The 25,347-nt window shown below is 42.5% G+C and overlaps 1 long non-coding RNA gene and 1 pseudogene across 3 annotated transcripts in view; both read right to left on the bottom strand.

Annotated features, from left to right (window-relative positions):
- Positions 1-25,124, bottom strand: part of LOC100233156 (tektin 4 pseudogene) — a 58,668-nt pseudogene extending 33,544 nt beyond the window's left edge. For both annotated transcript variants that reach the window (NR_037871.2, NR_037872.2), the window contains exons 1-2: positions 25,035-25,124; positions 22,841-22,899 (exon numbers count right to left, since the gene is read on the bottom strand). The product of NR_037871.2 is annotated as a tektin 4 pseudogene, transcript variant 1 (transcript). The remainder of the gene's footprint in view (positions 1-22,840; positions 22,900-25,034) is intronic.
- LOC124905310 (uncharacterized) lies at positions 12,655-16,701 on the bottom strand. Its single transcript, XR_007068494.1, has 2 exons — positions 16,204-16,701; positions 12,655-13,573 (listed from the first exon to the last, which is right to left on the bottom strand). It is a non-coding gene; the product is annotated as an uncharacterized LOC124905310 (long non-coding RNA).
- Positions 25,125-25,347: the final 223 nt, after the last annotated feature.

The raw sequence follows: 25,347 nt of genomic DNA on the forward strand, positions 1-25,347 counted from the left end.
AAGCTATAGCTTCTCTAGAAAGTGATTCCTTTGATGGATCTGGGCAAAATAATTGAAAACCTACTGGAAAGGATTCAACATTCTAGATGCCATTGAGAACATTCATGATTTAAAAAAGATCAAAATAGCAACATTAGGAGAAGTTGGGGCCGGGCTTGGTGGCTCACGCCTGTAATCCCAGCACTTTGGGAGGCCAAGGCACGTGGATCACGAGGTCAGGAATTTGAGACCAGCCTGGCCAACATAGTGAAATCCTGTCTGTACTAAAAACACAAAAAAAATTAGCTGGGCCTGGTCGGGGGTGACTGTAATCCCAAACACTTGGGAGGCTGAGGCAGGAGAATTGCTTGAACACGGGAAGTGGAGGTTGCAGTGAGCTGAGATCGCATCACTGCACTCCAGCCCAGGCAAGACTTCATCTCAAAAAAAAAAAAAAAAAAGAGAGAGAAGTTGGGAAGATTATTCCAACCCTCACAGATGACACAGGGGTTCACGACTTCTGTGGAGGAAGTAACTGCAGATATGGTGGAAATAACAAGAGCACTAGAATCAGAGAAAGAGCCTGAAGATCTGGCGAGACTGCAGCAGCCTCTGGAGAAAACGTGAGAGGATGAGTTGCTCCCACGGATGAGCAAAGAAAGTGGTTTCTTGAGATGAAATCTACTCGTGGTGAAGACAGTGTAAACAATGTTGAGATGACAACAGATTTACAATAAACTTGGTACAGCAGAAGGAAGGCTTGACAGGATTGAACCCAATGATTTACAATAATACATAAACTTAGTTGGTACAGCCGTACGAAGGTTTGACAGCATTGCGTCCAATTTTGAAAGTTCTACTGTGGGTAAAAAGCTATCATCGTATGCTACAGTTAATTCTTTTGTGAAAGGGAGAGTCAATTGACACAGCAAACTTCAACGTTGTCTTATTTTAAGAAATTGCCACAGCCACCCCAACGCTCAGCAACCACCACCTTACATTAACATAAGACTCTCCATCAGCAAGAAGACTGAAACTTGGCCAGGTGCAGTGGCTCACACCTGTCATCCCAACACCTTGGGAGGCCAAGGTGGGTGGATTGCTTGAGCCCAGGACGTCAAGGCAACATGGCAAAACCCCATCTCTACAAAAAAAAAAAATACAAAAATTAGCTGGACATGGTGGCATGCACCTGTAGTCCCAGCTAGTCAGGAGTCTGAGGTGGGGGTTTGATTGAGCATGAGGTTGAGGCTGCAATTACTCCAGCCTGAGCCACAGAGTAAAACCCTGTCACACACACAAAAAAGATTGCAGCTTTCTGAAGGCTCAGATGACTGTTAGCACTTGTTAACAATAAAGTATTTGTAAATTAAAGTGTGCATACTTTGTAGACATATGCTATTGCACACTTTATACAGCACAGTATAAACATACTTTTACATGCACTGGGAAACAAAAAGAAATTGTATAATTATTGCAGTGGTCTGGAACCAAACCCACATATATCTCTGATGCATGGCCGTCCTGTATTGTACACTTAAAAAAATACTTAAGAGGGTATATTTTAGGTGAAATGGTCATCTCATTTTTTTTTTGAGACGGAGTCACACTCTGTTGCCCAGGCTGGAGTGCAGTGGCACGATCTCGGCTCACTGCAAGCTCTGCCTCCCGAGTTCACACCATTATCCTGCCTCAGTCTCCCGAGTAGCTGGGACTACAGGTGCCCGCCATCACACCTGGCTAATTTTCTGTATTTTTAGTAGAAACGGGGTTTCACTGTGTTAGCCAGGATGGTCTTGATCTCCTGACCTCGTGATCCACCTGCCTTGGCCTCCCAAATTGCTGGGATTACAGGGGTGAGCCACCACTCCCGGTCTCATTTTTTAAAAAGGGTGAGAATGAGAAATATATGGGGGGTGATGGTCAAGTTTACGGTATTATTTGTTGTGATGAGTCCTGGGGCGAATATTTATCTCTATACTCATTAAGATGTATATATTCGGTGTCACACGCCTGCAATCCCAGCACTTTGGGAGGCCGAGGCAGGTGGATGATCTGAGGTCAGGCGTTCGAGACCAGCCTGGCCAACATGGTGAAACCCTGTCTCTACTAAAAAAATGCAAAAATTAGCCGGGCGTGGGGGCGCACGCCTGTGATCCCAGCTACTCAGGAGGCTGAGGCAGGAGAATTGCTTGAACCTGGGATGCAGAGGTTGCAGTTAGCTGAGATCATGTCACTGCACTCCAGACTGGGCAACAAGAGTAAAACCTCCATAACACACACACACACACACACACACACACACACACAAGGTATATATTAAATATGTGTAATTTTTGTATGTCAACCACACCTTAGTTTTATTTTATTTTATTTTTTTGGGACAGAGTCTCACTCTGTCACCCAGGCTGGAGTCCAGTGGTGCAATCTTGGCTCACTGCAAGCTCCACCTCCCAGGTTCACACCATTCTCCTGCCTCAACCTCCGGAGTAGCTGGAACTACAGGCACCCGCCACCACGCCCGGCTAATTTTTTGTATTTTTAGTAGAGATGGCGTTTCACAGTGTTAGCCCAGATGGTCTCGATCTCCTGACGTGATCTGCCTGCCTCAGCTTCCCAAAGTGCTGCGATTACAGGTGTGAGCCACCGCGCCCAGACAATTTTTATTTTTTTGAGACAGAGCCTCACTCTGTCACCCAGGCTGGAGTGCAGTGGCACTATCTTGGCTCACTGCAACCTCTGCCTCCTATGTTCAAGCAATTCTCCTGCCTCAGTCTCCCGAGTAGCTGGGACTACAGATGCATGCTATCACGCCTGGCTAATTTTTTGATTTTTAATAGAGATGAGGTTTCACCATGTTGGCCAGGCTGGTCTCAAACTCCTGACCTCATGTGATCTGCCCACCTCAGCCTCCCAAAGTGCTGGGATTACAGGTGTAAGCCACTGCACCTGGCAATTTTTAAATATATATAATTAAAATTTAATAAAAAACAGGTATTTGCAAGTTTCCGTTTTGTTATATGCTTATTATTCTTTATATTTATGTCAGGTTGCTGTGTCAATACACTTAGGAGATCATAGTTTCTAAATTGAAATACAAATAAATATGTCTGAAATTTTTTCTTTTTTCTTTTTTTTTGAGACAGACTCTCATTCTGTCACCCAGGCTGGAGTGCAGTGGTGCAATCTCAGCTCACTGCAACCTCCGCCTCCCAGATTCAAGTGATTCTCCTACCTCAGCCTCCAGAGTAGCTGGGATTACAGGCACCCGCCATGACACCCAGCTAACTTTTATATATTTTTTTTTTCTATTTTTAGTAAAGACAGGGTTTCACCATGTTGGCCAGGGTGGTCTCCAACTCCCGACCTCAGATGATCCTCCTGCCTCGGCCTCCTCAAGTGCTGGGATTACAGGTGTGAGCCACTGTGCCTGGCCTGGAATTTTTTTCTAAAATTTACATTTCTGAGTTAAGAATGCTTAAAATGTTATAAAAACAGAAGTACAATTCATTATGTGTTTCATTAATTACCTTTATTAAAAACAACACAATTATATTACAATAGGACAAAAAATGTTTAAGCAAATGAAAACGAAACCATGACATACCCAAACTCAGGAGGAGGCAACAAAGGCAGTGCTAAAGGGAAGCTTACAGCTCCAGATGCTTAAATTAAAAAGAAGAAAGATCTCAAACCCATGCTAAAGGGAAGCTTACAGCTACAGATCCTTAAATTAAAAAGAAGAAAGATCTCAAACCCATGCTAAAGGGAAGCTTACAGCTGCAGATGCTTAAATTAAAAAGAAGAAAGATCTGAAACCCTTGCTAAAGGGAAGCTTATAGCTGCAGGTGCTTAAATTAAAAAGAAGAAAGATCTCAAATCAATAACCTAACATTACACCTGAAGGGGGGGAAAAAAACTAATGACAAACCAAGCAAAAGGAAGAAAATAACAGATTAGAGCAGAGATAAGCAGAATAAGACCAGAAAAAAGGAAAAAAACACTGAGTTTGTTTTTTTAAAGATCAATAAAAATTTTAAAACTCACAGCTATATTAAGAAAAAAGAGAAATCTCAAATACTAAAATCATAAGTAAAAGAGGTGACAGTACAACAGATGCCACAGAAATGAAAAAGATTACAAGAGACTAATGTGAGCAACCATATGCCACAAAACTGGGCAACCTAGAATAAATTTATAAATTCCTAGAAACACAAACCACCATACTGCATCATGGAGAAATAAAAAATCCAAAGAGACCTGTAACTAGTAAGAAGATTCAACCAGTAATCAAAAACCCCACCAAAAAGAAAATTCCATGTCCAGATAACTTCACTGGAAAATTTTACCAAATATTTCAAGAAGAATTAATGCCAATCCTCTGCAAAATATTCCAAAAATGTTCAAAAACCAGAAGGGGACATTCCAATCCATTTATCAGGTCAACGTTTATCTGGTTCCAGAGCCAGATGAACACCTTTTGTAATAAAAACACTCAAAGAATTAGTAATATATGGAAACTCCTCAGTAAATAAAGATTATACAGGAAAAGCTCACAGCTAACATCATACTCAATGGTGAAAGACTAAAATCTTTTCCTCTAGGATCAGGAATAAGATAACAACATCTCTTCCTGCCACTTCTATTCATCACAGTACTGGAATTTCTACTCAGAATAATTAGTCAAGAGAAAGTAATAAAAAGGATGCAAATTGGAAAGGAAAAAGTACAAAATTTTGTTCACAGACAACAGGATGTAATGGGTAAAAATCCTGAAATTCCCAAAATACTGGTAAAATAATGAAATTCAACAAAGTTTCAGGATACAGTAACACACACAAGTCAGTTGCATTTCCATAAACTAACAATGAACAATCTGCAAATAAAATTTTAAAAAGAGAGGCCAGGTGCAGTGGCTCACACTTATAATCCCAGCACTTTGGGAGGCCAAGGCGGGTAGACCACCTGAGGTCAGGAGTTCGTGACCAGCTGGGCCAAACCCATCTCTAAAATAAATAGTAAAACTCTGTCTCTATTAAAAATACAAAAATTCGCTGGGCGTAGTGGCAGACAACTGTAGTCCCAGCTACTTGGGAGGCTGAGGCAGGAGAATTGCTTGAACTTGGAAGGTGGAAGTTGCAGTCAGCTGAGATTGTGCCACTGCGCTCCAGCTTAGGAAACTGAGTGAGACGCCATCTCAAAGAAAAGAAAGAAAGGAAAGAAAGAGAGAGAAAGAAAAGAAAAGAAAGATAAAACAAAAGAAAAGAAATTTTTAAAAAGAATGACATTTGGCTGGGTGCAGTGGCTCATGCCTGCAATCCCAGCAGTTTAGGAGGCCGAGGCAGGCAGATCACCTGAGGTCACAAGTTCAAGACTTGCCTGGTCAACATGGAGAAACCCTGTCTCTACTAAAAATACCAAAAAATTAGCTGGGTGTGCTGGCGCGCACCTGTGATCCCAGCTACTTGAGAGGCTGAGGTTGGAGAATCGCTTGAATAAAGAAGGTGCAGGTTGCAGTGAGCTGAGATAGTGCCACTGCACTCCAGCCTGGGAGACAGAGCAAGACTCCATCTCAAAAAAAAAAAAAAGTATTACATTTACAACAGCATTATAAAAATTAAAAATAAGCTTAACCAAAAGGGCAAAAGATTTGAACACAGAAAACTACAAAACACTGTTGAAAGAAATTAAACACAAATAAATGAAAAGAAAAGCTGGGTTTGCAGATTAGATGATTTCATCTTGGAATGATGTCAACACTACTCGAAGTGACCTAGATTCAATACAATCCTTATAAAGATTCCAATAACATTTTTGATAAACAGAAAAACCTATCCTAAAATTCATATGGAATCTCCAGGGCCCATGAATAGGCAAATCAATCTTGAAGCAGAACAAAATTAAAGGTCTCAAAACAATTACAAAACTGCAATAAGCCAAAAAAAATTGTGGTCATGGCATAAAGACATACTTGACACACTTATGGACCAACACAACAGAGACCTCAGAAACCAACCCTGGCATATATGGTCTGATGATCTTCCACAAGGATGCCAAGACCACTCAATGGCGAAGGACAGTTTCTTCAACAAATGGTGTTGGGAAAATTGTATATCTACATGCAAAACAATGAAGTTGGACTCTTACCTTACACCATGTTAAAATTAATTCAAAGTGAATTATAAACCTAATTGTAAAACTAGAACTATCAAACTCCTAGGGAAAACAAATTTGGAAAATGCTTTATGATGATGAATTTGTCAATAATTTTTAGGATATGACATTAAAAGCTCAGGCAGTAAAAGCAAAAATATATCAAACCTAAAAACTTCTGTACCACAAAGGTCACAACCAACAGGGTAAAAGGCAAACTGTAGAATAAAAGAAAATACCAGTTGAGTGTCCCTTATTTGAAATGCTTGGGATGTGTTTCAGATTTTGTAATATTTGCATTATTCTTACTGGTTGAGCATCTCGAATTCAAACACCTGAGTCTGCGATGCTCCAATAAGCATTTCCTTTGAGTGTCATGTTGGCACTCAAAAAGTTTCAGACTTTGGAGCATTTGGGATTTCAGATTTTTGGATCAGAGACATTCAACCTATAGTTGCACATCATGTATCTCATAAGAAGTGAACATTCAGAATACGTAAAGTACTCCTACAGAGAGACTACCAGAAGCAGAGAGGAGCAGACACATTTTCACACTAGGGCACCTCCTATCTCTCCCGGATTCCAATTACGGCAGAGTAAGTGCTAGTTCTCTGCCAACCCAGGATTAGGCCCTGCAGCTGCAGTGAAAATAATCACAGAAGAAAATTAAGAAATAAAAAAATGGAGAAAGTGAGACATCAAACTAAAATTACTAGAAACCCCAAGGAAGAAAGAAAAAGAAACGAAGAAAACAGAAAAACAATTAAACCAGTTAATTAAACCTTGGCATGACCAGAAGATCAGAGTTTCCTAAAGGAGTGGAAATTTATTGATTTGAAGAGGATTTATTGATTACTGATTTGAAGAGGAAGAAAAACCATGAATGGTCTAAAGCAAAAGCCTAGTGTCTGAAGAAGTCAGTAGGGTGAAAACAAGAGCTGGCCAGAATATCCACAGATGGTGACAAGTTGGCAAAGCCTTTACTAGACTACTCGTGAGGCTAACTAGAGGCCAAGGAGCCGACACTGCCCCGTCCTTACAGAGAGACCCTACACAGGATTCCCAGATATACATGGAAGGACAACATCTTATCAGGTCCTCTCTGTGCAGATGTGGTTATCATTCCAAATAATGAGCTCCAGCCCCAAGACTGTTCCATCCTCAATTGCTTTGAGTGGGCAATGTAGGCTCTCCACACACGACCTACATGTAGGTTCCTTGGGTACCCAGATGGGAGCCATGAAACACAAACCCTCCATGGTCAGGTCTGTATTTGTTTCCTGCCTTTTTCCCAGCAATCCCCAGGCCCCAGCAGTGGTGGTCTACCTCTGCTGATTCTCATTCAGAATCTAAACTTAGAAACAATTATAACCTAGACCCCAATTCTACCTGAAAGTAACAGAATAACATAATCTATACCCTGCAGCATGACTGTTTGCCCAACGTAATGAGGATGAACTGAGAGATAATGAATGATCATGACCCTGGCCCAAGTAATGAGAATGAACTGTGAGATAAATGAATGATCATGACAAAAAACCCCGCTACAACCCAACAACAAAATAAAGTGATTAAAAAATGGACAAACAACATTTATCCAAAGATGCAAAGATGATATACAAATAGCCAACAGATACATGAGATATATGAGAAGATGTGTAACATCACTAGTCATTAGAGAAATGCAAAAAGAAACCACAATGGGACATCACTTCAAACCCAATAGAAAGTAACAAGCGCAGGTGAAACTGAAACCCTTGAACACTGTTGGTGGAAATATGAACTGGCTCCTCAAAAAAAAATAAAATAAAATGACCATATGATCCAGCCATCCAACTACTACAGAGACAGAATAACTAGTAGCAGGACCTCAAACAGATATGTGCACACCTAAGTTCACAGCAGCATTACACAGCCACAAGGTGGAAGAAACAAAAACGTCCATCCAGGAATAGGTGGATAAACAAAAGCATATATATATATGATATATATTATATATATATATAATATATAATATATATAATATATATAATGTATGTATATAATATATATGTAATATATATATAATATATATATGAAGAAATATTATTCAGCCATAGAAAGGAAGAAAATCGTGACACATCTGACACATAACATGGAACCTACTTACAAAACAACAAATATTATATAACCCTAGGTATATAAGCCAAATTTTTAGAAACACAAAGTAGAATAGTACTTGCCAGGGGGTGGAAGGAGGGGGAAATTAATAGTTGTTGAATGGGTATAGAGTTTTCCAAGATAAAAAAAAAATCTAGAAATCTGCTACACAACACCGTAAATATTCTTAACTCTACAAAACTGTATACTTACAACTAGTTACGACGGTAAATTTTAAGGTATGTGTTTGTTACCAAAATTCTAAATAATAAATTATTTATAAAAAATGATCTTTTTTGACACAAGGTCTTACTCTGTTGCCCTGGAAGGAGTGCAATGGCATGATCACAGCTCATTGCAGCCTCAACCTCCCAGGCTCAAGCAACACTCCCACCTCAGCCTCCCAAATAGTTGGGACTACAGGTGCACACCAAGATGTCAGGCTAAATTTTGGTTTGGTTTTTTTGTAGAGAGGGTTTTGCCATGATGCCCAGGCTGGTCTCAACCTCCTGGGCTCAAGCAATCCACCTCCCTTGGCCTCCCTCAGAGCTGAGATTATGAGCATAAGCCACCATGCCCAGCCTATAAAAAAATATTTCAAAAAGCCAAAATATTAATCAAACTGGAGTATTTAGAAATATTTAACCCAAAAGAAGTTAGGAAAGAATATATAGAAGATCAAAACACAGACGAAGGCCAGACATGGTTGCTCATGCCTGTAATCCGAACACTTTGGGAGGCCAAGGTGGGTAGATTGCTTGAGCTCAGGAGTTCAAGACCAGCCTGTGCAACATGGCAAAACCCTATCTCTACAAAAAATATAAAAATTAGCCAGGTGTGTTTCCATGCGCCTGTAGTCCCAGCTACTCAGTGGGCTCCAGTGAGGATTGGTTGGGCCTGGGAAGCAGAGGTTGAAGTAAGCCAACATTGCACCATTGCACTACAGTCTCGGTGACAGAGCAAGACCCTGTCTTAAAAAAAAAAAACAAACAAATAGAAAATAAGTAGAAAAATGGCAGACCTAAATCCAACCTTAGCAATGATTAGTTACAATGTAACTGGACAAATACTCTACTTAAGACAGAGACTGCCAGACCTGAGAGGAAAGCAAGACCCAACAATATGGCATCCACAGAGACACAATTTAAATACAAAGACACAAAGTATGAGAAAAAATATGCTATGCAGACACTAATCATAAAAATATGCTATCCAGACACTAATCATAAAAAGCTTCAATGGAGATGTTAACACTAGATGAAAGAGGCTCCAGAAAAAAAATATATCACCAGAAATAAACAAGGTAATTTCATAAAAATAAAAGAATCAGAGAGGATGATGTTACAATTATAAATTGTGCCTCAAATTGCACACAAAGTACACACACACACAGAGCCTCAAATTATGTAAATCAAAAACAACAGAACAAAAGCAGGAAATTGACAATCCAAAATTATAACTGGTGAATTAATACTGCTCTCTCAGTAACTGATGGAACAACCAGATAAAAATATAGGAAAAATACGGATCTAAATGACAAAATCCTGACCCAAATGGTACTTGGCAGTACCAAGATAGACTGTCGATCAATTGAGAAAATGTTCAAGCATGAAATAGTATACAAAGTATGTTGTCTGAACACCTGAAATTAAATTAGAAACCAACAACAAATTGATATCCAGAAAAGCCTCAAATGTCTGAAAACCAAGTAATAAACTTTGAAATACCCTGTAAGTCAAAAAAGTATTCACAAGGGGAACTGGAATGTATTTGGAACAAACTTGTTATAAAAATCATATTTCTGGTAGACTAAAGGTGACAACATCTTTCCTGCTCCTCTCTCTGTGAGAACCAATTCCCCTTAAACCTTGCCCAGACTACTGACTTGCTTGGCCAACAGAAGGTGACAAAGGTGGTATTTGGGGACTTCAGAAGCCAGGCTGAGAAAACAGAACACTTATCCAGGAGAAAGCCAGTCACCAGGCAGGAAATCCCACTCCCCTGAGACCCCATGATGGAAACCACACGGCCAGTCCATGACTAGCTACATGCATTGACATCCCCCATTGACCCTCTAGCAACACCGACTCCCAACCACTAGTGAGCCTTCAGCAACATCCCCTCCCAACCACTAGTGAGCCACCCTGCACACCACCCCGCTGTGCTTTCACACAATCCAGCTTGGCTGCAACTGTGTGTGAGATGAGCTGGCCACCAAGACTCTCTAAGCCAAAAAACAAGTAATAATGAGTTGTTTTAAGCTGCCAAGTTTTGGGGATGGTTTCTTCAGAATAGATAACTGGAACAGAATATTGTAGCTGGAAATGAGCCGCTGTGGTAATCAGAAGCTACAATATGTGCCACGACTGTGAGGCTGACCTGTAACTGGGCCTCAAGGAGAACATTCATGCAACCTGGAAGGGCAACAAGACTCTTGGTCAGGGCCTGAAAGACGGTGAGAAAATGTCATTGGAAACTGGGGAAAAGGCCTGAGAGTTATGTGCTGAGGGACTGTGAGAAAACTATGGCCACAACATGGAAACTGAAAGGGCACTGCACCATCTCAGGGATCTGCCTAAGGAGACATCTGGGAAGAACATGGAAAGTGCTATCAGCCTCCCCTAACTGTCACTGAATAAACATGACAGGAGAGGGACATGATCTAAAGAAGGAAGTTCAGTTTTCAAACAAAATTTAGAGAAAATATAAAGAAATAATTTCTTGTCTCAAAAGGCCAAAGAAAAAAAAAAGAAAAAAAAAAATTATAAAGAAGCCATTGAATACCCTATTGACCATAAGAAAAAGGCAGAGAAAGTTGGTCAACGGCAACCCAGGCACTGAAGGAAAAAGAACATGGAGAATGACAAAAGCCCAGAGGGAGGAGTAAAAGGACACAAACGCCGTTCTCAGGGACAAGGACTGGGCGCCGTTCTCAGGGACCTGGACTGGGCACTAATCACAGAACTGTAACAGGCGCCCCATGGTAATGACCAACTGTTAGACGGGGCCTGCAGGGCAGCACCTCCCTCCTGCCTCCCACCAACAGCTTCTACAGGGAAATGCCGACTGTTTTCACACCAGTCCCCTCACTGCGGCTGAGTGTGTGGGCACAGATGATAGGTCACAACAACCTTATTCAGTCCTCACTGTGGCTGAGTGCGTCAGGGGCAGACAACAGGCCACCACAACCTGATTCAGTCCTCACTGTGGCTGTGTGTGGGGGGGCAGATGACAGGCCACCACAACTTGATTCAGTCCTCACTGCGGCTGAGTGTGTGTGGGTGCAGGTGACAGGCCACCACAACCTGATTCAGGATTCAGTTGGGCTACCAGCCAGTGCCATAAGGAAAACCACTCTGGGACTCTTGAGAGGGGCAAAGCATAATTTGCATGTGGGAGAAACGTTAGTAGTTTGTGGCCAGAGGACAAACTGTGGTTTATTAAAGACTGCTGCAGGTTCCTACTATGCTTCTCATCAAGAGGTGGAATCTAATCACCTTCCCCCCTTGAATCATGGCTGGTCTCAGTGATGAGTACGACTGGACAGTGTGGCAGGAGAGATGTTCTGGGACTTCTGAGGGATGATCATGAGAGACCTTACAGCTTCTGCCTGGGCCTCTTGGACACATACACTGGGAGAAGCCAGACAAACCTGACTACCTGACACTGCCAGACTGGGAGGAAGTCCGTGCTGGCCACAAAGAGAGGGCTTGGTGCCTGCTCCATGTCCCCAGCCACTAGAGTCCTTCTGGTGCCTGCTTCACGTCCCCAGCCACTAGAGTCCTTCCAGATGAGACCAGGGACATCATGAAGCAGCCAACCCACATTGCCCTGTCCAGTGTCTTGACCCAGAAAATTGTGACATGTAAAAAGAATAAATTCCTGGTTTAAGCCAGTAAGGTTACTGGTACATTGTTACATTGCAGATAATTAAAACCTTGAAAAACTCATGAGAGATCCCAAGTAAAACCTTGATCTGAAACATGGCATGTGGCGATTTATATTGAGTATTAGGTTAAAAATGCAAGATTGGAGAATAGTTAATATTTTACGTTAAAGCTAAAACTATAATTGCCCACTTAAAATTTTCAGTTAATTAGGTTGTCACTTTTTGTTCTTAACCAAGAAATCAACTAGTTTTAGTCCATAAACAGTTGGAACTGATGCACACATCCGTTTTTCCTTACTCATTTTAAGCAGCTATCTGAAATAGGAAGCATAATATAATCTTTAAAGAATCTGAAAATATGACAGAAATGTTTAAACTATAAACATATATTGTAAATGTTAGCATATTATATACATTGCATATTAACATAAGCTAAAATCATTGATATAAATTTATATAAACAAAAGGTAGAAAATATGACAATGTTCTTCTTGTTTTTTGTCTTTGCATATTTCTTTATTGGCCCTTGTCAAACGTGACCCACTAACTCCTGAATGCTTTCTCTCTCCCCATGGATTCCTAAGGATGTCACCACAGTGCTGGCCAGATGCACAGATCACAGGTGACTGAACCTCATCACCCCACGAACACACCCTTCAGGTTTTGCCAAGAATGACACTGTAAATATAACAAAGCTCCTGTGCTTGTTAGTGAACACCAATTCAGCTTCTCTCCTGTATTTGGAAATCAGGATGAGATGAAAACAACAAGCAGGCCAGGCACGGTGGCTCACGCCTGTAATCCCAGCACTTTGGGAGGCCGAGGCGAGTGGATCACCTGAGGTCGGGAGTTCGAGACACCCTGATCAAAACAGAGAAACCCCATCTCTACTAAAAATACAAAATTAGCCGGGCGTGGTGGCACATGCCTGTAATACCAGCTACTCAGGAGCTGAGGCAGGAGAATTGCTTGAACCCAGGAGGTGGAGGCTGCAGTGAGCTGAGATCACACCACTGCGCTCTAGCCTGGGCAACAAGAGCGAAACTCTGTCTCAAAAAATAAAAATAAAAATAAAAGAACAAGGAAACAAAAGCAACAAGGCTTGACACCAGATGAGCCTGAATCTAAGCAAGAAAAGCCCAGAAGAAATCCCATTTTGGGTCACTGGCTGCATGGTAGTAATGCCATACACATAAGGAAGAGAAGAGGATGTGGCTTTCACTTCGAATTTTTTGAGCTTAAGGTAAATTTGGATAGCTACAAAGAAGCATTCAACAGAGAGTTAAACCTATGATGGAAAGACTGAAGAGGTCCAAGCTGTAGAGAAACAGGACTGCAAACCACAAAGGGCTGAATCAGTCAAGGAGAACTGCAGGGCAAGATGAACAGGGACCAATGGAACATTTGGATAAGCTGTTGAGAAGAAAGGAGAATTCAGAGAAAAAGAACTGTCAGTGAGGTCATAATAGGAACTGTTACAGTGAACTAAATATGGCCTGGGAAGGACTCTGTACTTCTAGATTTGAGTCCCTGTGGACAAACTGCAACCTAACTTAATAGGTAGAAAGACTGAAAACCTAACTTAGGAGTATGTGCCTAAAACAGTAGCTGAGTCCTGGCCAATCCCAACAGCCAAACTTCTGCCACTCACACACTGCTGAGTGGTCAGCTGTGTTCAAATAAGGCAAATGCTGAGCACTGTAACCAGTCCAGTTGTTTCTGGACCTCACTGCTGAGAACTGTAATGGACCCAGTTGCTTCTAGACCTCACTCCTCACTTCAGATTTTTGTACATCATGTTCCCTTTATTGTCTATAAATCTTCCACCATGTGTCTGTGCTGGAGTCTCACTGAATCTGCTGTGATTCTGGGGGCTGCCTGATTCGTGAATCATTCATTGCTCAATTAAGCTCCTTTAAATTTAATTCAGCTGAAGATTTTCTTTTAATAGATGGTGTCAGAAGTGGGATCCGTGGGAGCAGGACTGCTAGGGCCTCTGGAGCTATACTGTGGTGAGCAGTGTTGCTAAGCCTTCTAATGACCCCCAGAGTGCTGAGGTACAAGGAAGGAACCTGAAAGGACCCATTTGTGATGGCAGCAGTGGCCCACGTGGAGCAGTTGCTATGGAGACACTGGCTGCAGTGGGGAGGAGTGGCTGGGGCTGTGCACTCCTCAGAGCTGGTGGGAGCCAGGAATGGGTGGGAGACCTGCCCCTTCTAAATTATCAGGCAGGAGCCCCGCCCTCCCAGGCACAGCTGCAGCCATCCAGCCATGACTGCAAACCCAGGCATCTCTGCACTCTCAGAGGCCCAGCAAGCCCCCCTGCCCCGCAGGCTCAGTTGTACCTGGTCCTGCCACCTGGCGTCTCTCTGCTTCCAGAGCCCACTCCAAATTCAGATCCAAGTTGAGGCCAAACCTGGGCACAGTCACAACCTGGCCTGGTTTGTGCAAGCTCAGGGCAGTGCTGACATGCCAGCCCCCTGCCACCTCGGCCCCCTCCAGAATTTGGGCACTGGCAAGCACAGGAGGGAGGCTGAGGTGTGGCTAAGAGTGGCTCAGCAGTGGCCGGAAGGCCCTCCTCAGCTCGAACGCCTGGGCACTATGGGCACAGCTACCCACCGTGCGTCTCCTCTCAGCTGCTGAGAGCTGAACAGACGTTGGGATGACCTGCCTGCAGAAAGGAGCTACCCACTGCAGGTCTCCTCTGAGCTGTACTGTGGCTCAATAAAGCACCTCTTCACCTTGCTCACCTTCTACTTGTCCACATACCTCATTTTTCCTGGACTCAGGACAAGAACTCAGGACCTGCCAACTAGCAGGGCTGAAAGAGGTGTAACATAAACAGGGCTGAAACGCTATCCTTTCTTGCCAAATTGCAGGCAAGAAGAAGAGAAGAGAGAAGGAGAGAAGAGCTGTGTCCCTTCAGGGAACACAGACCTAGGAGCTCCTCCAACCAGGGCTGTGACACCTTCTTTGGGGCTCTGCAGGTCCTGCATCTCCAAGCTTCTGGGTGCCACTGCATTCCCTGATACCCACAGTGGAAGTTGTTTGCAGTCGGCCTGGTCCAGCTGCAGCCTCACAGGGAGCTGGCACCTGTGCCTGGAGCTGCCCACCCCACTGCAGCTGGCATGCTTGGCTGTGTGCAGTGGCCAGATCCCATGCTCGCTTGCTCACACACCCCTCACTGCTCTGTACCCAGCTCGCCCTTGGCAGGTGTGGGATCCAGACCACTAGCATGAGCTGAGTGGACAGAACTAACCCAGTGGGCCCGAGCAAAACACAGGTAAAGGTGCCACCAGCCAGAGGTTTCAGGCAGAAAAGTGACACCTCAGGATTCTGTAACACTTGTGTCCTTTGATCTCTCGGAGCAGCTGGAGATCATGGTAAATTTTCTCTCGGATTTCAGAGCTCCATGGATTTGTGTTTTGAGCTCTGAGTTTCTTTGAGCAAATTTCTGTTCCAAACTGCTATCCAGCCATGACTGGCTGGATGTTTTAGAAGTTATAACAGAAAAGGGACCGGGTCCAGGATCAGATTTGATCCAGTAGTTAATTGGCTTGAATCCAGTTCCAGTTAGAGGCCTCCTACATCTGACTGGGTCAGAAGGAAAGTGGTAGTAAATGATAATATTGGAAGATTGTAACATTTGGCTTTTGAAAATTCACAGGGATTTTTGTGTTCTACCCCTTTGTTTCATTTTTCTCGCACGCTTAGGCAGGAAAAAAAAATCATTGGCTAAGTTAATGAAGGGAACCTGGGAGTAAAGCCAATATTTTAGGTAAAAATAGGATCCTTAATTTCTGGAAAACTAAGCTCCTTCTGGCTAATACATTAGGCCTGGGAAGCAGCAAAGTCTTACAGAAATGGCAAAATCTTATTAAGATAACTTACAGTGGAACATTTCAAATGAATAATGCCCTGAAGTGCATTTAAAAATGAGGGTTCCCAAATTAGTCTCATCTAGGGATGCCTATTAATATGCAGAAGCTTCTAAAAAGATTTAGAGATGGCACCGCCCATCTGGGAGCAAGTTTGAGTCTTACCAGTTTGATACTGGGTGCTGAGCAAAGTGGCACGTGTCTATGTTTTGTCACATGTATTTTGCTCTGGGCAGAATGAAAAATGTTAATTTGGTTACTCCAAGCAACCCCTTGGGCAGCATCTTGCAAAGCTGAGTGGATTCTTCCTGTGATTCCATGATTTTCCATTGTGATGCAGCTTGGCCCCCAGAGCTATAATGTGGTGAGGAGGGTGACAGAGCAAGACGCAATCTTTAAAAAAAAATGGCCAGGTGCAGTGGCTCATGCCTGTAATCCCAACACTTGGGGAGGCTGAGGCAGGTGGATCACCTGAGGTCAGGAGTTCAGGGCCAGCCTGACCTACAAGGAAAAACCCCGTCTCTACTAAAAACACAAAATTAGCTGGGCATGGTGGCACATGCCTCTAATCCCAGCTACTCAGGAGGCTGGGGCAGGAGAATCGCTTGAACCCGGGAGGCAGGGGGTTGCAGTGAACCGAGATCACACCATTGCACTCCAGCCTGGGCAACAAGAGGGAAAATCCATCTGAAAAAAAAAAAGAAAGAATAATAGGTTTGTCTATAAGGTTTTATGAAAAAGTGGGTGACATTTGGCTTTCTCTCTTTAAAGAAGATGTTCAGGTAATATTAAAAAATAATGAAAAATTTGTTTGCCTTTTAAATAAACTACCAAAAAAAAAAAAAGGAAAAACAAGAGGCAGATCGTTTGTGAAGATGTCTTCCCTCTATCAATGAGTAAAGATTTTTGCCCTTTAAAACTTTTTTAAGTCATGATTTTAAGTAAATGAATGACTTACGGTGACCTGGAATTCTATTTCATAACATCAAGTGTTTAAACTTTTAATATATTTAATAGGCTTCCCAAAATCAAATTTCAACTTCAAAATTGTCTTTTCTGACCTCTAAATTTGGGATACTACAGACGCCCTTGAAGCACCCAAAAGAGAGGTAAACAGGACTATTTAACATGTTAAGTCACATGGGTAGCACTGTCAAAATAAAACATAATGTTGAACCTTTTTCAGGTTATATTTAGTTTATGTCATCAACCCGTTCTAAAATTGTATAGGATTTCTAAAATTCTTTTTTTTTTTTTTTCCCCTGAGACGGAGTCTTGCTCTGTCACCCAGGCTGGAGTACAGTGGCACAATCTCGGCTCACTGCAACCTCCACCTCCTGGGTTCATGCCATTCTCCTGCTTCAGCCTCCCGAGTAGCTGGGACTACAGGCATCCACCACCATGCCAAGCTAATTTTTGTATTTTTAGTAGAGATGGGGTTTCACCGTGTTAGCCAGGATGTTCTCATCTCCTGACCTCGTGATCCTTCCACCTTGGCCTCCCAAAGTGCTGGGATTACAGGCGTGAGCCACTGCACCTGGCCAGGATTCTAAAATTCTAATATGCCTATATGCTATCTATCATAATTACCTGTTTTGTTTGTTTTGAGACGGAGTTTCGCTCTTGTCACCTAGGCTGGAGTGCAATGGTGTGATCTAGGATCACTGAAGCCTCCACCTCCTGGGTTCAAGCATTTCTCCTGCCTCAGCCTCCCAAGTAGCTGGGATTACAGACAACTGCCACCACATCCGGCTAATTTTTTTTTTATTTTTAGTAAAGACAGAGTTTTACCATGTTGGCCAGGCTGGTCTCAAACTCCTGACCTCAGGTGATCCACCTAACTTGGCCTCTCAAAGAGCTGGGATTACAGGAATGAGCCACCACATCCACCCTAATTATGGTTATTAAGTTATTGTAGACCACAGAAATAACCAAATTTCCTTATCAATTGTCTTTAACTATAACTATTTAAAGTCATTTCCACAGTTAATTGCTTAATGATGATGCAGTTTCTAAAAACTTCACAAGCATGCAAAATTCTAGAATAGAAGATTCATGAAAGAATGAAAAGGACCATGAAAAACACTCGGGAACACAGGTTTCTAATAACTTTAATATCATGGGTAAAAATTCCCCATAAGTTTCCCGATCCCCCAATAATTGGACTGGTTAAGAATTCTCAAAAGTTAGGCTGGGTGCAGTGGCTCATGTTGGCAATCCCAGCACTTTGGGAGGCCGAGGCTGGTGGATCACTTGAGGTCAGGAGTTTGAGACCAGCCTGGCCAATGGTGAAACCCCACCTCTACTAAAACTACAAAAATTAGCCAGGTGTGGTGGTATGCATCTGTAATCCCAGCTACTCGGGAGGCTGAGGCAGGAGAATCACTTGAACCCAGGAGGCGGAGGTTGCAGTGAGCCAAGATTGTGCCACTGCACTCCAACCTAGGTAACAGAGTGAGACTCTGTCTCAAAAAAAAAAAAATCCTAAAGTTTAATAAGAAGACCAACTGGTTTATAAAACTGCTAACCCAAGTAAAACAAAAATTGAATATCAAGGAAATATTTTCCAGATTTGCATGCTAAATCACCAATATTGAAATTGTTTAGATATATAATTTAAATAAACTCCATGGTCTAAGCCAAATTACCTATAACTCATCAGTTACCAGTGCCATGCACCTAATTTGAAGAAACAGCTGGTATTCAAGAGGATGTAAGTCTAATGTTAATTAAGCACAGACTTATGAAGAACCAGGATGGCCACCTTTCCGTCTTAAGTCCTTAAAACTTTTGTTATTAAAAGTTCTGCATTCCATAACTCATCATGGAAAGAGAAAATGATCCAAATTAAATATATTGCTGTGGTGATCTCTAAATTGCTAAAATAGTTTATAATCAATGTTTGGTTTGTCAAACCTATATTCCTAGGAAAACAATCAAAACTTCAGGTGCATTTGGTTACCTGATGGGCCATTTAAACATTTTATAAAGGGATTTCATTCAGTTGTCATTTTCAGTGCATGTTTTCTGATTGTAAAAAAGCTCTTCCATGCAAGAGGGTTGATGTTAAAACAGTAGATTATTATGCTGAAGTGTATTTTCACCAGATAAAGAAAGACTTTTATGGTTCACAGAGGACAGCCAACCCCTTCACAATCTAGAATCTGATGACTGGATCTTCTGAGAACATCAGAGGACTGCCCTTGCCATTCACATGACAGCAAAACATTAAAACCTTAAACTTTGGGTTCATAGTCTTACAACTCAGAAGGGTCCCTCCACAATTGGAACCATACACCCCTTGGAACCCTTAAGGTAAAGCTAACAAGGACAGTTCCCCCCCAGAAGAAGATGGCATCCTTAATGTGAACAGCTTTTCCCAAGATCACAGATCAAGACTTCTCTACTATTATGAGACTCTTATCTTAAGTATCTGTGCAGCTGCTAACATGGCATATGGAGAAAACATCGGGTATTATAAAGATTTGGTTGTAGGGAATTAACAAAAAAACCCACTTAGTTAAGCAAGTAAACTCTTTATCTAATTCATTCTTTAATCTATTTGATTTTAGGTGGTTTGATTTATGGGGACCCTGAGTAAGGAGCATATACCAAATTCTTGGTGTTATCCCAATAGTCATAAGAGTCTCCCTGGTGCACTGTACTTACTCAAATGTTTTAAGAGTTTGCATGCAGCCATCTCTAAAATGTCAAATGGTATCTCTTCAACTGGAATGACAACAGATTAAAAAAATGTGCAATCATAAGGACACCGTAACCTATGAGTGACATGCTAAACCAGAAACCCAAAACAATGGGAGTGACATGCTAAACCAGAAACCCAAAACAATGGGACTGATGTACTAAAACCGGAACCCAAAACAATGGGAGTGATGTACTAAAACCAGAACCCAAAACAATGGGAGTGACATGCTAAACCAGAAACCCAAAACAATGGGAGTAACATGCTAAAACCAGAACCCAAAACAATGGGAGTGACGTGCTAAAACCATTACCCAAAACAATGGGAGTGATGTGCTAAACCGGAAACCCAAAACAATGGTAACTAAGAGTGAGGCTAAGGCCCTACATTTTGGTCACACTCTCAACTAAGTGAGAACTTGACTGAAAAGGAGGATTTTTTTTTTTTTCTGAGACAGAGTCTTGCTCTGTCCCCCAGAGTGGAGTGCAGTGGCATGATCTCGGCTCACTGCAAGCTCTGCCTCCCGGGTTCAGGCCATTCTCCTGCCTCAGCCTCCTGAGTAGCTGGGACTACAGGCACCCGCCAGCATGCTTGGCTATTTTTTTGTGTATTTAGTAGAGATGAGGTTTCACCGTATTAGCAAGGATGGTCTCAATCTCCTGATCTCGTGATCTGCCCACCTCGGCCTCCCAAAGTGCTGGGATTACAGGCATGAGCCACCGTGCCCAGCCAAAAGGAGGAATTTTTTAAGCAAAATTATGGGAGGCCATTGTTTTGAACTAAGCTCATGCAATAGGTCCCAACAGAACAAACCAAACCAAAATGGAGTCACTCATGTTAAATGGAACATAATCAAACTAAGACTTTAAGGAAACACATAAATCCTAGAACAAACCAGGTTTTGTTTTTCTCCTGTAAACAGGATGTTCCAGCATAAGAAGACACCTTCTACTCAAGTCCTTGTTCCACCTTTTCAAATCTCACTGTTCTATTTCCCAGTGGGTTTCTAAACCAAATAAGTACATTTGCAAGGGTAATAGTGACACCAGTGACTGAAGTTTTGGCCAGTCTCTCAAAATTGAGAAAATAACCAAAGGGAAGGCATTGTTAAAGTGAACTAAGTATGTCCTGAGAAGGACTCCATAATTATATATATGAGTCCTTGTGGATGACCTGCAACCTACCTTAATAGGTAAACAAGAATGAAAACCTAACTTGAGTGTATGCACCTCAAACAACAGCTACATCTTGGTCAATCCCAATGGCCAAACTTCAACCACTCAGGCACTGCCAAATGTTCAAACTGTGCTCAAACAAGGCAAACGCTGAGTTGTTTCTGTACCTCACTTCCGATTTCGGTATGCCACTTCCCTTTTGTCTACAAATCTTCTTCCACCACATGACTGTGCTGGAGTCTCTGTGAATCTGCTGTGATTCTGGGGACTTTCCGATTCATGAATCGTTTATTGCTCAATTAAACTCCTTTAAAGTTTTTCTTTTAACAGAACTAACACGGAAGAATTTCCAGATCATGAACAGATGTTTTATAATACCCAACGTTGTATTAACATGAATAGACTCTTCCTTAGATAGCTAACCTTGTTTTTAATATGAATAGACTCTCCCTTAGCTGAGAAAACCAGACAAACTCCATTTGGCTCCTTCATTTACAAGACATCAAGGGCTCCTTACCCACCCCCTTTCCTCAAGGACTTTAACTTGTGCAAGCTGATTTTCAACATATCAAAGAGTGCAATTAACTGATAAAGTGCTGAGGCAAGTGATGTCCGCAGTTCCCAGCAAATTACTCAGAGATAATATCATAAAGCCCCCACATTTGTCTGGAAGATAATGCCCAGAGCCCCCTCACTCATCACTTTGTGGTGAATTTAAAGCCTCTGCACCTGGAACAGTTTGTTTTCCTGTAACCATCTGTCTTTTTAAGTTTTTTGTCTGTTTTTTCTTCTGTAAGTTTATTGCAGCTGGAATCCCCCCTCCCCTCTCTAAACCAATGTATAAAAGAAAATCTAGCCCATTCTTTAGGGCCGAGAGTATTTCCTGTGTTAGCCGTCTCTCAGTCACCAGCTAATAAAGGACTCCTGAATTCGTCTCAAAGTGTGGCATTTCTCTGTAACTCGTTTGGGTACGACAGTTTCAACTATGGTAGAAGACTCGAGTAAGACAAATACAGCCCCCCTAAATTTGACTATTATTTAGGTTAATGGTGAGTTTAGAAGAAATAAGTTAAGACTACACAGAGTGGGCTAAATTGCAAATAAACACTGAAAATATTTCCCAGAAAATGTGACTTTGAACAGGCTGCTGCACACCCTGCATGTAGAGATAAACTAAGAAAAATGTGTGGAGAGTTATTTAAGGACCTGTGGTTAACTCAGTCCTCAAGATGTTCTGGGTTTCATCCATGAGTCAAGGAGGACCTCCCAAAAGCTGTTTGGGACCACACTCTTTGAGCAAGGAGCATACCTTATGATGGAAGCTGTGCTTTAGCAGGAGATGACCATTTCCACTGCACAACACGCCGTGCTTTAGCAGACGATGACCATTTCCACTGTACAACATGCTGTGCTTTAGCGTCAGATGACCATTTCCACTGCACAACACGCCATGCTTTAGCGGAAAATGACCATTTCCACTGCACAACACGCCATGCCTTAGCGGAAGATGACTGTTTCCACTGCACAACACTACAAGTGCTTACTGCCAGACCGGTGTGAAATATGTTCCAGCACATAATCTATGTCACCAATGAAGGTGGTGGTTAAGACTTGGTGCACACAAGCTTTCCTGTCCCACAAGAACACAGCATGCTCTCTTTTCGGGTTCCATTCCAATCACGTAACAAACATGACTGCCTTTTTTGTTTCGGCATCAGAAAGATCAGAGGAAACTTTGCACTCAACTTAGACAACTCTAAGCTTTTATAACCTGTCTATATCTACAGGTCAGCTTTATCTTATTTATGTATATTTCCTTCAACCTGAGTTTTACTTATTTCCACTTTTCCTTTTTAATTCACAGACACCCATAAACTCAGAAAATACAGTGTAAAACAAAGTGAAGAACAAATAAAAAACTCACCAGAGATTTATTCGTTTCTTGTTGCTCTTGGAAACACCCAGAGGACACTGGAAACATAGCTGGAAGAGAAGGCAAATGATGTCGATTAAGGAGAGAACTGGTGAGGTGTGGTCCCAGATTCTTCTGCCCAACACTCTAGACACATTACCTGGAAAAGCCCTCCTCCCTCCGGAAAAAGAAAAACTTCCCCATGGGAGAAGAGTCCTTCACACCTCATTAGGGGCAGCAAAGACTCAAGTTAAGATAAGATACATCTACAAGTACATTAATTGGTAGACATTAGATGCACAATTTATTTTTGAATAAAAATATGTAGTACCTACAAATTTAGTAACAATATTACCTAAAGATATAATCTAATAATTTAATACAAAGAAACATTATAAGTTCACTAAAATAAATGTTATAGAAATATACTGGGCTGTATTAACTATTTTCCTATTAACATGTGGATTCCACAGATAACTTCTTATGAGTATTCCCATGACAGTACATCTTGCTTTTCTATACCTGAACATCATGGAAAGTGCATCTTGCAACCCAGCAATTTTGGCCTACGTTTTTTAAAATGTACATAATATGTATTTCCTGCAGTACACCGTTCTACTCATGTTTCCCAATAACACCTTTCCCTGTATCCAAGCCCTCATATTATGCTCTGACAATAAATTGGGCTTTTCCATCTGACTTGTCCAGTGAATGGACAATGGAAAATGTGATGCAAATATCCATTGGTTCTTGCCTTTTTGGACACAGTCATATTGTGAAGAGGTCTGGAGCTACCCTGTTGGAAACACAGGGCCTAGCCAAGAGTCACCACAAACCACCAGATTGTGAAGGAAACTATCTTAAACCAACCAGGCTCAGTCAAGGCACCAGGTGACTAAGGCCTGTTTTGTGATCCAGGCAACACAAATATATCAACTACCCAGCTGAACCCACCACACCAAAATGCAGATCCACAGAACTTCAAACAAATAAAATGGTGGTTGTTTTTTATAAGCTAGTAAGGTTTAATTAGTTCCTTAAACAGCAAATATTAACTGTTACACCTAAGTGAATAGAATTCAATATGTTTTTAACGAAATTATGTAGGGGGAGAAAGTCTTAAATTACAAATGAAATGCAATCAATAGAACTTCACAATCTATGCTAAATTTGGTGATGGACTAGGTTTAATATATCTCAGACACTGGAAACAACAAGCTAAGTTTGAAGGAATGGGACTGTATTTGGAGAGTATTTCAATCTTTTCAAGTATGACAGGTCACTCCTGCACCCCAGACCACACTTTCAGGCCCCTTCAAATAAGGAATATTTCCTAGGTCCTTGCCTGTTCTTCTCAGCTGAATTCACCTCAACCTTCTGAAAGTTCTTCCAAACCTTCCACTATCACCTAGTCTTTGCAAATCTTGTGCATTCTAGGGAGTAGAATTAATATTTCCTGAGCGAGGAAAACTGGGATCTTCACCTGCGACCTTTTATCCTCCTCTGAAGCACCAGTGAGAAGTTAGACCAGAGGGCTGTTCTTTCAAGTGCGCCTCTTATTCATAGGGAACCCTCCCTTTCAAACTTTATAACACACAGTGAAGACTGAAGTACTCTTAAGGCTGAAGACCATCATCCAGTACCCCATCTCCCTCGCGGAATCAGTGAGTTCCTCCATGGAAACTAGGTCTCGTATAAACTTCCATAAATGCAATCCAGGAGGACTAGGCAGGTCACACAGTGAAGGAGGGAACCAGAAACTTCACTTGCTAAATAGACACCAGGAAACCCAACTAATACAAACGCCCAGCTGAAGACTAGAGGCACACGCATTTCGCACTACTCCTCTGGGAATGGGGAACGTCTCCCGAGAACTGTGTGTTAGCACGGGGACAGATGGGCAAACTGAGCTACATGAGGGTTGGTAACCGGGTCCCTCAGTGGCAGGACAGGAGCGCGGCCTGCAGACTCCGGGCCCAGGGCCACCAGCCTCGCCTACCCACTCCTGCGCCTCTGGAACCCGCTTCACTGCTGGGACCCCACGTCTGTCCTCCCAGCCCCCGCCAGGGTCCACGGCCCGCAAATGCACGTCAAGCCCCTCCTGCCCGCGATGCGCCCAAGCGTCTGCCCCCACAAATGGGGAACACTGGTCTGGCCCCCCGGGATCCCCCGAGGCCCACAGGTTCCTCTTTGCCCTCGCACCTACCCACAGGGACATAGAACCAAGCCCCAGGCCTGCTCAGCTACACGACCGCCGCTGGGATCCGCACTTCCGGAGGAAAATGGCGAAGTGGGCGGGGCGGCGCATGCGCAGAGAGAAAAGCTGGTTCCCAAGGTCCTTGATGGTAACATCATTGGAAGGTGACACTACATTTCCTATGAGGCTCTGCGGTCCCCCGTTAGGAACGCACGCCGGACATTCTGTTTTGCCCAGCAGTGAGTCCAGTTACCCGGAGACCCGGACTTAATGGATCAGGACTGGTCCCTACCCACGTGACACAGATGTGGCATTCTGGTTC

This window comes from Homo sapiens, unplaced genomic scaffold (genome assembly GCF_000001405.40).
Source record: "Homo sapiens unplaced genomic scaffold, GRCh38.p14 Primary Assembly HSCHRUN_RANDOM_CTG9".
In the NCBI taxonomy this organism is placed as follows: Eukaryota; Metazoa; Chordata; class Mammalia; order Primates; family Hominidae; genus Homo; species Homo sapiens.